The following is a 12,699-nucleotide window of genomic DNA, read 5'->3' on the forward strand; positions in this document are numbered from 1 at the left end:
TAATCCATCTTGAGTTGATTTTTGTATATGGTGTAAGAAAGAGGTCCAGTTTTAATCTTCTGCATATGGCTATCCAGTTATCACAGCACCATTTATTGACTAGGGAGTCCTTTCCCCATTGCTTGTTTTTGTCAGCTTTGTCAAAGATCAGATGGCTGTAGGTGTGCCGCCCTATTTCTAGGCTCGGTATTCTATTTTGGTACCATACTGTTTTTGTTACTGTACCCCTGTAATATAGTTTGAAGTTAGATAACATGATGCCCCCAGCTTTGTTCTTTTTGCTTAGGATCGCCTTGGCTATTTGGGCTCTTTTTTGGTTCCATATGAATTTTGAAATAATTTCTTCCAGTTCTGTGAAAAATGTCATTGGTAGTTTGATAGGAATAGCATTGAATCTGTAAATTGCTTTGGGCAGTATGGCCATTTTAATGATATTTATTCCTCCTATTCATGAGCATGGGATGTTTTTCTATGTGTTTGTGTCATCTCTGATTTCTTTGAGTAGTGTTAACGAATCCTTTTTTTTTTTGAGATGGAGTCTCACTCTGTCACCCAGGCTGGAGTGCAGTGGTGCAATCTTGGCTCACTGCAAGCTCCGCCTCCCAGGCTCCCAAGTAGCTGGGACAACTACTTGGTAGGTGCCCGCCACCACACCTGGCTAATTTTCTGTAATTTTAGTAGAGACAGGGTTTCACTGTGTTAGCCAGGATGGTCTCGATCTCTGACCTCATGATCTGCCCGCCTCAGCCTCCCAAAGTGCTGGGATTACAGGCGTGAGCCGCCACGCGTGGCACAAATCCATTTTTTTATCATAGGGTCTATTTACTTTAGTTGGAGAGTTTTCCTAATAATTAGACAACTTAATCCATTTATTCAGTACATGAGAAGAGAGCTCTAAAAATGAATGGATATGCTAATTTTTACATTCATTTTTCTTTTTTTCCTCCCTTTCCTTCCACTCTTTAGCCTATATATGCTCCAAAAGTGGAGGGGAGGACCTTGGACAGAAATCCTATATAACTAAACCAGACATGCATATAAAAATGTTATTCATAGCTCTTCATTTTCCACATTGTTCCCCCAACAGAATAGAAACTTCATTTCCTTTTGAAAATAGTCATATATGTTTGTTGTAACTGGGGACTTGAAATGATTCTTTCTATTAAAATCACTACTGATATTTGAATCAAGTATCAAGGTATCTTATGTATTTTATTTTGAAATTTTAAAGTATAAATGACTTTAGAGATAAGGTAGTAGATTCTTTTATTTTAAAAAATGAGACAATGAGCATCAAAGATTAACCCAAACCTTAGAACTTGCTAATAGCAGAACCCAGGACTTCTTACTCCAGTATAGGTTTGTTTCCATGATTTCCTCTAACACTTAATAAAGGATGAGATGGAAAAAAGGAAGGAGGGTCATTGGAGAGTTTAAGGTAGGAAAACGTTTGGGAACAGTAAAAAAGCAGCCTTGGCCAGGCGTGGTGGCTCACACCTGTAATCTCAGCATTTTGGGAGGCCGAGATGGGTGGATCATGAGGTCAGGAGTACGAGACCAGCCTGGCCAACATGGTGAAACCCTGTCTGTACTAAAAATAAAAAATTAGCCCAGCGTGGTGGCACACACCTATAATCCCAGCTACTCAGGAGACTGAGGCAGGAGAATCACTTTAATCCAGGAGGCGCAGGTTGTGGTGAGCCGAGATCACACCATTGCACTCCAGCATGGGTGACAAAGTGAGATTCCATCTCAAAAAAAAAAAAAAAAAAAAAAAAAAAGGCAGTGTTAAAAACCCTCTGATCATCTCATGACCACGTGATTTAAACATGACACTGTGACTGGGAAATTATGAGCTACCACACGTGGTTTTTACTTGAAATAGATACCTTTTCAACAACTGAATTCATTTTTCCTATACTGGATCAGGTAACATTTATTTTTTAGCAGTCTTTTTTTACATAATAATATTGATTATCCACTATATCCAAGGTATTGTAGCATATGAACTGTGCTAGTTAAGTAAAATAAAGCAAAAGGAAAAAATGGTTATGAGAAATTGAGATTGCGCTATATTCTTAATACTTTTTTTGAGTGACAGACTCTGAGAAAATTGAAATCTTCTTCCCCAGAAAGGTGCACATCCACACAAAAGCCAACCTTAAGAATCCGTGATTGCCAAGTTAAAACCCCACTTACCAATGTACCTGTGGTTTTGAATCATTTTTTCATTGTCAAAGTATAACTGGAAACCAACTGAAAAACTCATTAACTGCTGTAAAATTCTGAGCAAAATGGCTAGTAAGTTTTAATTTTTAATTTTTGCCTTTGATTATAGTATTTGAGGGGAAGATCATACGTATTTTCTTGGAAATGTTACAGTTTTCTAATTGGTAGACATTTAGATTTGCTAGGGAGATAAGTATTCTATTGCCTCAGGATAATGTTAGATCTGAAGAGGTCAGTCTGTCTTTTAATCTGAGTATCTAATTAAGCAGATGGCTTAAAGTACATCTTTTGTATCTTCAGAGTTTGTGCTTTTTCACCATATTCGCAAGCACATAATCAATTTTTCTTCCTCAGTAAATGGAGTTCCTTGGCCTCAAGAGGCAACACGACGAAATAGCCATACCTTTAACTGCAGGATGCTAATTCACCCTCCAGATGAGCCAGGGACCGAGAACCAAGAAGCTTGCCAGCGTTATGAAGTAATGCAGTGTTTCACTGTGTCACAGCCAAAATCAATTCAAGAGGATGGAGAAGGTAAAGCCAAACGGTCTTTTTAAAGTGTTTATTTCTTCTGTGACTTTAAGGAAAAGAGAGGAAATTAATTATAAACTGCCTTTTTCAGATAGTATTTTTGGTTACTATAATATGTATCATAGTGGCTATTCCATTTGCTATATATTCTTAATACTTAAAAAACAATAATTACTAACATCTAGAATCATTCCTTTAATATGCCCCCCAGATTCTCAGTTTTAAGCTGGCATTCCCACTAAAATGTCAAATAATTCAAACCAACTTGCTGTCTAGAAATAAGAGATGTAACTAACTGCTGCCAGTTGGAAATGTACCAGATGCAGCAGACTGTTGAACAGCTCTGATTTTTAGAAAGTTTCAAGTTTAGAGTGTAGGGAACATTGGAGAATAGAGTTGGCATTTTTCAGGCTATACAAGGTAATTTATAAGGAGAAAACTTAAGAACAGATGGAAACATGCTGAAGCTCTAATATGAACATGGTGTCAACATGGAATTAGTTAAATATGTGACAGTGGATGAGTTTTCCATGTAAACTTAGACTGGGCTAAGTTTAGAAAATCACAAATTGGGAACTGGAGTAAGGACAAGGGAAGGTAGTAGACAAGAAGTCAGTCAGATGCAAGAAAGCCATGTATGTAGCAGGTCTCACCAGGAAACGGAGGTAACAATCAACTGGAGACTTTTTACAAAATACACATGCCAAATCTTACTTGATTAAAGTTCATTTTTAGCTGTGTGATATTGTGTTTAACATCCTCAAAACAAAACTTGGGAATGGGACTTTGAAAAAATTGTATATCCTAAAAACATGAAGTCATCTGTCAAGAGCAAAATAGTGCTTCAGAGTTAAAGGTTGTTTTTCTCATATAATTATCTACACTGTGGTTATAAGAATAATCTTTTTAGCCATTAAGTACTGGTGAATATAAGAAATTGACTACAAAACTGTATTTTAAAAAACACTGTGCCACTTATATCTAACCAAAACTACTACTTGTAGTTGTTATCATCCAGTACATGAGATGCATCTCTCTCCTCTGGTATATATAAGAGCATTCAATAGGAAGGAATGGTTTATGCCAACTAACTCTCTACCTGGAGCTGTCAGTTTTTGGTTGCCAGCAATTTTATTTCTAATACACTATTAGATAAGAATGATTTCAGTATTATGCAATATTATGTCAGGTGCTGTAACACGTTTTTGTTTTTGTTTTTTTGAGACGGAGTCTCGCTCTGTGGCCCAGGCTGGACTGCAGTGGCGTGATCTCGGCTCACTGCAAGCTCCACCTCCCGGGTTCACGCCATTCTCCTGCCTCAGCCTCCCGAGTAGCGGGGACTGCAGGCGCCCGCCACCATGCCCGGCTAATTTTTTTGTGTTTTTTAGTAGATACAGGGTTTCACCGTGTTAGCCAGCATGGTCTCGATCTTGTGATCCACCCACCTCGGCCTCCCAAAGTGCTGGGATTACAGGCGTGAGCCACCACGTCTGGCCAACATGTATTGTTTTTATGAAAACCATTAATGGCGAGTGATAGATATAAACCATTTTCTACTCTCTATCCTTCAATTTCCCCGTCTTGTTTTGGGCAGATTTCCAGTCATGTCTGATTTGTATTGCACGGCGATTACCTCGGCCTCCAGCTATTACGGGTGTAGAATCCTTTATGACCAAGCAAGATACTACAGGTACTAATTGTAAAGTTCAGAATGTTCCATAGGTATTAATAATGTGACTCTGCCCTTAAAACTAATTATATCCAGAATGTCTTTCTGTTCTATGAGATTTAGGCTTTGCTCCCTAGTCTTATACAGAAAACATTTTAAATGGTGCTCTTGAGATTATACAATTTAGATACTATGATCATTATCATGGTCAGGGTGCTGGGGAACACTTTTTATAACTTTATATACCTATATTTGTTTGATTACAAATTATTTTTCAAATCATGGAATAAAATGTTTAAAGAAATTGAGAAGATATAGATATGTAAATATGTAGATATACATACATTTATTTAAATAGATATGAATATGGTAGTTTTACTATTATGCTTAAACGTATCTGGCTATTTTTTTTTTTAATTCTTTTTCTTTAAATTTATTTAGCACATACCGATTGAGTCCCTAGAAGTGCCTGTCATTAGGTGATTCCTCAAGATGTATATGGTTGAACAAAAATGATTCAGTGACAAATTGTGTTATTTTTGATGATGGAAGTTATGAGATGGTATAAGGGAGGATATATGAAATTAGTTGGTCAGCAAAGGCCTGTCTGAGGAGCTGATACTGAGCCCCAAAGGATGAAGTGGTGCCCACTACTTAAAGTATGGGTCTTGGAAGGGGGGCAGCAAGAAAGGGTCTTGATGCAGAACGAGTACTCCTAATTGAGGAACCAGAGCTGCAGAAGTCTAAAGATAAGCAAGACAGAGAGGTAAGTTAGAAGTACTAGAAGGAGGGCAGGAGAGCCTCAAACTGAGTAACAGACTGCCTATAAATAAGGCATTCTTCTTAAAGGCCTACTTCAGATTTTATTTTCAGCAAGAACAAGTTGTTACTGTTCTTTATAGTTGATGAAGTATTTTTCTTATATTATTTGATTTTATCTTTACACTAACATGTTGTATGTTCATGCTTTTACGACAACCAGAGTTACATATATATCACTTACCTCTCTAATTTTAAAATAGAGATAAATATTAAAGGTATATTTTCTAGCAGACTAAGATTTTAAAAATAATTTCTTCTGAATTTTATGCTTTGTGAAAGTTTAGTTTTAGTGTACATTTTGACTTTTACCACCTTTTTATAAGATCCTATTTCATTATGTATTAATTTTTTAGTGCCAATAATCTAATATTCTAATGTTGTATACTTTGTGCTTGTGTTTTTAGAGATAAACTTCCAACTGCTCTTACTAAAGAACTAGTATGGATAAATTAGCACAGATAATAGAAAATGGTAAAGAGAATGTCTCTGAGCATGGAGAGATGGCATCTAAGGATAGTAATTATCAATTATCATAGCCTTCTTCATTCTGTTTTTGAGTCTACCATGTATTATGTTCCTTTCCAGTCTCTACCATGAACAACACTGGAAAAATTTAATAAACGTACTATGGATATGTAGGTTTGTCCAAAAACAAAAATTTATTTAAATTTTTTTAAAATTTTTTTTTAATTATTGAAAATTGAAAGTATTTTGCATGAAGGAAAAATAGAGTCCATTGAAAAAGAAAATTGGTCTTTTCTGTCAGTAACCAGTTAACATAAAAAGAAACCAAATAAGGGCTTTGTGAGATAGCAGAATGAAAACATGTTGAAAAAGGTTATTGTCAGGTCACAGAAAAAATGTCAGAGATGGGGGAGGCCTAAAAGTTATGAGGCTAATTTAGGAACAATATGTTTCAGCTTTTCCTCATATTGCATTTGTATAAATTGAATTCTAAATTGGATTGCTTTGAGGACTGTATTTTCCCATAAGAACAGTGTTATCCCTGGTAGTTTTGTTTCTAAGAACCCAGCTGTTAAAATTTTAGATATACCTGGTAATATGTATAAATATATAAAAATAACCATAATCATGTAAAATAAAAAATTAGCCTCTGGGCCATAAAATAACTATATATATATAGAGAGAGAGGGAACCTCCAATATCACAGAATCCAACCTAGATTTACAAATGAGGGGATGGTGATTTGATCAAAACCATACAGCCCTTTGCCGAGAATGGACACCTTTAGGCCCTAATGTGGAGCCCTTTCTTGTATTACATTACTTTTCACTAAAGCACTATTAAAAGGGCATCACTATACTGTACACAGTTATTGTACAAAGATACCAAGGAAATATAAAATATGCTTAAAATGTAAAACTAACATTATATAAATCATAGAATTGACTTAGCTAAAAAGAATAAGTATAATAAATGTTAAACATTTAATTTCTTAAGTTTTTGTAGTACTTTTTAACTCTTCATGGGATGATCCATATCTCTTAAAAAAAGAAAAAAGTATTTTACTAGGAAATGTTGAACAGTGGGGCTTTTTATTGTTGTTTAGTTGGTTGGTTAAACTTTCCTGTAGTAGGCAGAGTATTCTAAATCAAGCTGTTCATGATTCTTCACTAAGATAGTCATTATATTACCCATCTGGTACCATTGCTGATAACTTAATCACTTTCTCTCCTGCCAGTCCCCAAACTCTAAACTCTCATGCTCTCTGGTGGGGCCAACCCTGACATGAACACACACATGCATATGCCTCCCTTAGTCACTGCCTGTGAGGAGCATTATTGTATAGGAAGATTATGTAGCAGTGGAATCCCTGCTATAACCAACTTTTTATCTCTGACATAAGAAACAAGGGTTGAACAATTAAAATTCTTAAAAATCTAAAATCTTTTATAGTTTCAGTTACAGTGTTCACCAGGCTTTCCCCAAACTGTTCTTAAATGACAAAATTTCCTTGAGTTTCAGTTTATTTTCTTTCTACTATTTACATTTATGCCAAGACTTAGGTGATAACCTGATCAAGTAGGACTGGGTACATCAGATTCAAGACCCGAAGTTAAAAAGGTCTAATGAATATTTTATTTCTAAACAAAATGAGATATATAAAGAGGGGATTAGTTCAATGAGGAGGCACAAACTGGATGATAGATTTGAGTTGATTGTATGAAGAAGGGGAAGATGGGGAAAATATTTAATCAGGCATTCATAGAAGAGGAAACATTAGTGGTGAACTCTAATAATTGGGAAATAAAAATTTAGACCACAATGAGATAGCATTTTTCACCTACTAATTTGAAAACATAAAGAAGCCTGACAACACAAGTGATGAAAGGATGTTAGATTAGCACTAACTCTTACACATTGCTGGTGGAAGCATAGAGTGGTACAAGTTTCAGGAAGACAGTTTAAAATTAATATTATAAAGTTGAACATTCACATAACCTACAATCTAACAATTCTGTTCCTACATATATACACTAGAGAAGTTCTCACATGCATGTACCATGCAACACGTGAAAGATGTTCATAGCAGTGCTGATTGTAATGGCAAAAAACCGATAACAGTCTAGATGCCCATTCACAGGAGAATTTAAAGATGGGGGTGGTGACAAGGGAGGAGTGCACATGTGATGGAGCAATATTGGTAACGTCAAGTTCTGAAGTTGAGTGGTGGGTTGGCAGGTTTTTATCTCATTAATTCTTAATTTATATATATATATTCTATATATATCTTGTATTATTTTGTGTGACTGTAAGATTCTGTAAAACGTAATAAAACAGGTCTTAATATTCACAAACTGGATTAATTGGCCCTCTGTTAACTGAGGAATAACTTACCTGAATTCTCTCATAGCCATTTGGAAATTTGTTTAAATATGATAACAATGGCGAATCACCACTAAATTTTATAAAGCGTATGTTCCGTGTGCATACTGCCTAGCAAATCTTAATGTTCTCACTTACTGTTTTTCTGATTTAACTTTTGTTGTCTTCAGTCTTTGTTTAGTCTTAAATACAGTATTGCCTACAGCCCAACAAAGGTTAGAAAGGAAAAGGCTTGCTTCTTTTCTCATATTCTCTTCACTTAGTAGTTAGAAATTAATTTAAACCAAAAAATATACTTCATCTTTGCCTCTCCTTTCCAATCGGTCATCAGTATACAGAGAGCAGAATCCAAAGACCAAGCCAGAAGAGTTTGAACTGCATTAGTCTCAGTAGTGTCAGGTCATTATGGTATGACTTTAATCCTAGACCAGAATTGAATTTTAGAATATGACATACTAGGACATAACACATTCTAAGACCAAAACAATTTCTTATGTCAATAACATACTTCATAACTATAATAAAAATTAATAGTGCTTTTTGATGCTTTTGTTTATTGAGTATTTGGAAAGAATATTTCTTAGATGCAGTTGTTAGTTTTGAAATACAGATGATTTATATAAAGAGGCTGTTATAAATATAAACTTTCATTCTTTGTACAGGTAAAATCATCTCTATTGATACTAGTTCCCTGAGAGCTGCTGGCAGAACTGGTTGGGAAGATTTAGTGAGGAAGTGCATTTATGCTTTTTTCCAACCTCAGGGCAGAGAACCATCTTATGCCAGACAGCTGTTCCAAGAAGGTAAAATTTTCTCTCTCAATTATTTTCATTAACCCTTATCTTTACTGATATTTGAATAGTTCGTATAGAACTTATGGCTTGATAAGTATTTTCTCCAAATTATAGTTTTTGCAATAATCAGTTTTAGGAAAGGAAGAAATGGGTAAGCAAAGTAATTCATGAGTGGATCCTGAAATTTGGGATACACGTTCTGAAGAATAGGATGTTGTGTGGTGGTCACTCATTCATTCATTCATTCATTCAGCAGGCATGTATCAAGTTCCCAACATACGTAGAACACTATATAAGGTGCCAGGGATACAGTGATGACTAAAAAAGAAGGTTTTGCCCTTAAAGAGCTTATAATACAGTAGGAAAATATACGACAACCCTAAAGATCAGTTTGATGTGGGGTATGATAGAACCATAACCAAAGAAGAAAAAAATTAATTCTGACTTGAAGAATCAAGGATGACTTCAGAAAAGAAGTAATATTTTGTTTGGCTCTTGAAGATCATTCTCAGCAGAACAAGCATGTCAAAGGCCTTCTAGATAATACAGAGATCAGTATCATGCCTGTTTACTTCATGACTGTTGCAGAACCTGTATCTCCTGACTCAGGTTGAAATTTCAAGTCAAAAAATATATCCTATGAAATTATTAATTATTGCATAGCTTCTGGGTCTTAGTAAGTATCATGGAAGTATAAGATATGTATATTCCCTGCCCTTAAGAAACTTAACAGTACTACAGGAACGATAGGAAAAGTTATTTGAGAATTAAGGCCAGAAAGTTTACAGAAGTTCAGAATTAAATGGCTTTGATATACTTTAAAAATATTGTCATTTAATTATGGTAGCCTAACATTCTTTTTCCAATGAAATTTATTCTCTAATCTCTAGATAGTTTCTTTTGTAAGAATCTCATTGTATGGCTTTTCCTGAAAAACAATTTAAAAATATGTTTCATTATTTTGTCATTCTTAATTTTAACATTTTTCCCATAACATTAGATTTCCTAAGTTTACGGATGATTTTCCATTCATTACATTTTAGGTCAACTGCTTCCTAGTGATACATGGAGGAAGTAGTTTGATTTTTTTTCTTCTTCCAGGAAACATCTATATAAATATCACAATCCAGGTATTTCTGGAACAGCTTCGTACAGACTAGTGGTTCTCTAATGGGCTCCTTACTAGACTTATACCACCTCCTAAGATTGTATTTCACTGGGTAGAGCTAAGAATCTGTATTTTTTAAAAGTTTCCCAGGCAATCCTGAAGGGCAGCCAGGTTTGGAAACCATTACAATAAGTAACTAATGCCGTCCACTGGATGTGAACTTTGTGATTTCCTCTGGCAAGGGTGATGCTTGACTTTTGCATAGGTTTGGGACTCAGAGCACTGTTTCGACTCATTGCCTGAAGTTCTCGAGTTTATGGTACTTTTGATTTTTGCCTTAAGTTGGGCCTTCCAAGGCTTTACTTAAAAGACTTAATTTATTTGCCTATAATTTACGTACATTTTCACTAAGGCAAAGCAGATCTGGCTTGTCTTATTATCCAAATGGCTAGGCTCCCCATAGATGTGACTAGGCTACAGTTGAAGGTTTCTAAACCTTCAACGGAATTCCCCATACAATGAATTGATTAAAGTATTATAAGTAACTAGTTTGTCATTAATATATAAACTGAAATAATTTAGAGTAAAATGTCAAGAAATGTAAGTATAATCCAATACCTCTTCCCCATTAGTCATTTTTAATGTTCCCTCATTCTACTTTTTTTAGGGAAAAAAAATCCTCAATAGAAATAACTGTATTTTTCTTAGAATCAAGTTGTCCAAAGTTCACGTGACTGAATCGAGTGTTTTGGAGATTCTAAACAACCTGACAAACAGGTTTTGTGGATTGAGCACAGCCTTTTTTGATATTTTCTATTCAGCAGTATCTAGCCAGATATGAGAAATGTGGTCAATGAAACACTTTCATGAGAATCACCTGTTAAAGATAGTGACCTGCTGAATTAAAATATCAAATGAAGGCCTGCCCAGATATCTTAACAAACCTTAAAGCTAATGCTTAAGTTGGCCGGGTGCAGTGGCTCATGCCTGTAATCCCAACACTTTGGGAGGCCGAGGCAGGTGGATCACCTGAGGTCGGGAGTTCAAGACCAGCCTAATCAACTTGGAGAAACCCCATCTCCACTAAAAATACAAAATTAGCGCGCATGGTGGCGCAGTCCTGTAATCCCAGCTACTCGGAAGGCTGAGGCAGGAGAATCACTTGAACCCGGGAGGTGGAGGTTGCGGTGAGCCAAGGTCGCACCATTGCACTCCAGCCTGGGCAACAAGAGCGAAACTTCATCGCTAATAATAATAATAATAATAATAATAATAATAATAATAGTAATAATGCTTAAGTTTGACAATCATTGGTCCATCAAGATTGGAGAGAGGTGTTATTTGCATTTGCAGTTTTCTTGCTGCCTTTTCACTTAGGGACAGTATAAAAAGAGTGAAACAGATTATGTACTATCTTCCTGATTTTGTGTAGAACTTTACAGTGAATGATATTTAGGCAGGAAAAGTTTGTCCTCCATCTGTTTTCTTTTTTCCTGTCCATTAACTTACTCTTTGATGGCAGCAACTAGTCTAAAATCCTAACATGCGTTAAAATTTCTAGTTTTAGTTTAGTTTTTTAGCTGCTTTTGACAGTCAGCTCATGAACTGCTGTCAAAAGGAGTTTACTATTATATTTTCCAGAATCAAGTTTGAAAACACATTTCACCTTGCATGAATTAGATTAAAGCCACGGTTTTACATTGAGATTGGAGGGAAATGGGTATCAGGATCACTTGAGGAACTTTTTAAACTAGGAGAAGATCCATGCAAGTGTGTATAGTTTGGAAAAAGTTCCCAGGTTCTGTTCAATTCAAAACTATTACTTTAAAGAAATATCTAGGTCATGGTGCTTCCCAAGGTCCCTGATAAGATAGATTTATCTGGGGCAGTTGTTAAACTAGATTTCTGGACCCCACCCCGGACTACTGAATCAGAGTCTATAGTCTAAGATGTTTACTTACAGAGAAGTTTGTAAACTATGAACCTAGGTTCCACAAACTTAATAACTATAACTAGGAAATGATGTTTTATGGGTAATCCCACTTTAGGTGATTTATAAGATATATTTAAGGTATTTAAGTTTCTGAGAAGTTCTACAATAAAAATACCTTTTAAATTTTGTTATTGAGACTTTTTTTTCACAGAATACTTTTTCCTGGAGCACATCTATCAGCAGTTAGATAGTAGTCATGGGAAATGTCAGGCTATACAACCTAGAAACTAGTTGTATGAAAGTTCTGTTTATATATATATATAATGATGTAATGGATCATCTTTTCTTGTCTTTGAAATATCCATGACATATTGTTATATTAAAAAGTAGGTGGCTGGGCACAGTAGCTCATGCCTGTAATCCCAGCCCTTGGGAGGCTGAGACAGGAGGATTGCTTGAGTCCAGAAGTTCAAGACCAGCTTGGGCAACATGGCGAAACCTCATCTCTACAAAAAATAAAAATACAAAAATTAGCTAGGCGTGGCACACAGGTATGGTCCCAGCTAGTCGGGAGGCTGAGATGAGAGAATTGCTTGAGCCCAGGAAGTGAAGACTTCAGTTAGCCTTGATCATGCTACTGCACTCAAACCTGGGTGACAGAGTGAGACACTGTCTCAAAAAAAAAAAAAAAAAGAGTAGACCAAGAGAGCACAGCATATATAATATGATCTCACTTTTACATATCTTTCTATTTATCCAATTCTAG

The 12,699-nt window shown here is 35.6% G+C and overlaps 1 protein-coding gene across 15 annotated transcripts in view; it reads left to right on the forward strand.

The window, feature by feature from the left end:
• Window positions 1–12,699, forward strand: part of NCOA1 (nuclear receptor coactivator 1) — a 279,449-nt gene that overhangs the window by 197,644 nt on the left and 69,106 nt on the right. For all 15 annotated transcript variants that reach the window (XM_047446155.1, NM_001362950.1, NM_003743.5 and 12 more), the window contains 3 exons: window positions 2,584–2,763; window positions 4,355–4,450; window positions 8,761–8,901. In XM_047446155.1, coding sequence (XP_047302111.1) covers window positions 2,584–2,763; window positions 4,355–4,450; window positions 8,761–8,901 — 417 coding nt within the window. The remainder of the gene's footprint in view (window positions 1–2,583; window positions 2,764–4,354; window positions 4,451–8,760; window positions 8,902–12,699) is intronic.

This window comes from Homo sapiens, chromosome 2, assembly GCF_000001405.40.
Source record: "Homo sapiens chromosome 2, GRCh38.p14 Primary Assembly".
In the NCBI taxonomy this organism is placed as follows: Eukaryota; Metazoa; Chordata; class Mammalia; order Primates; family Hominidae; genus Homo; species Homo sapiens.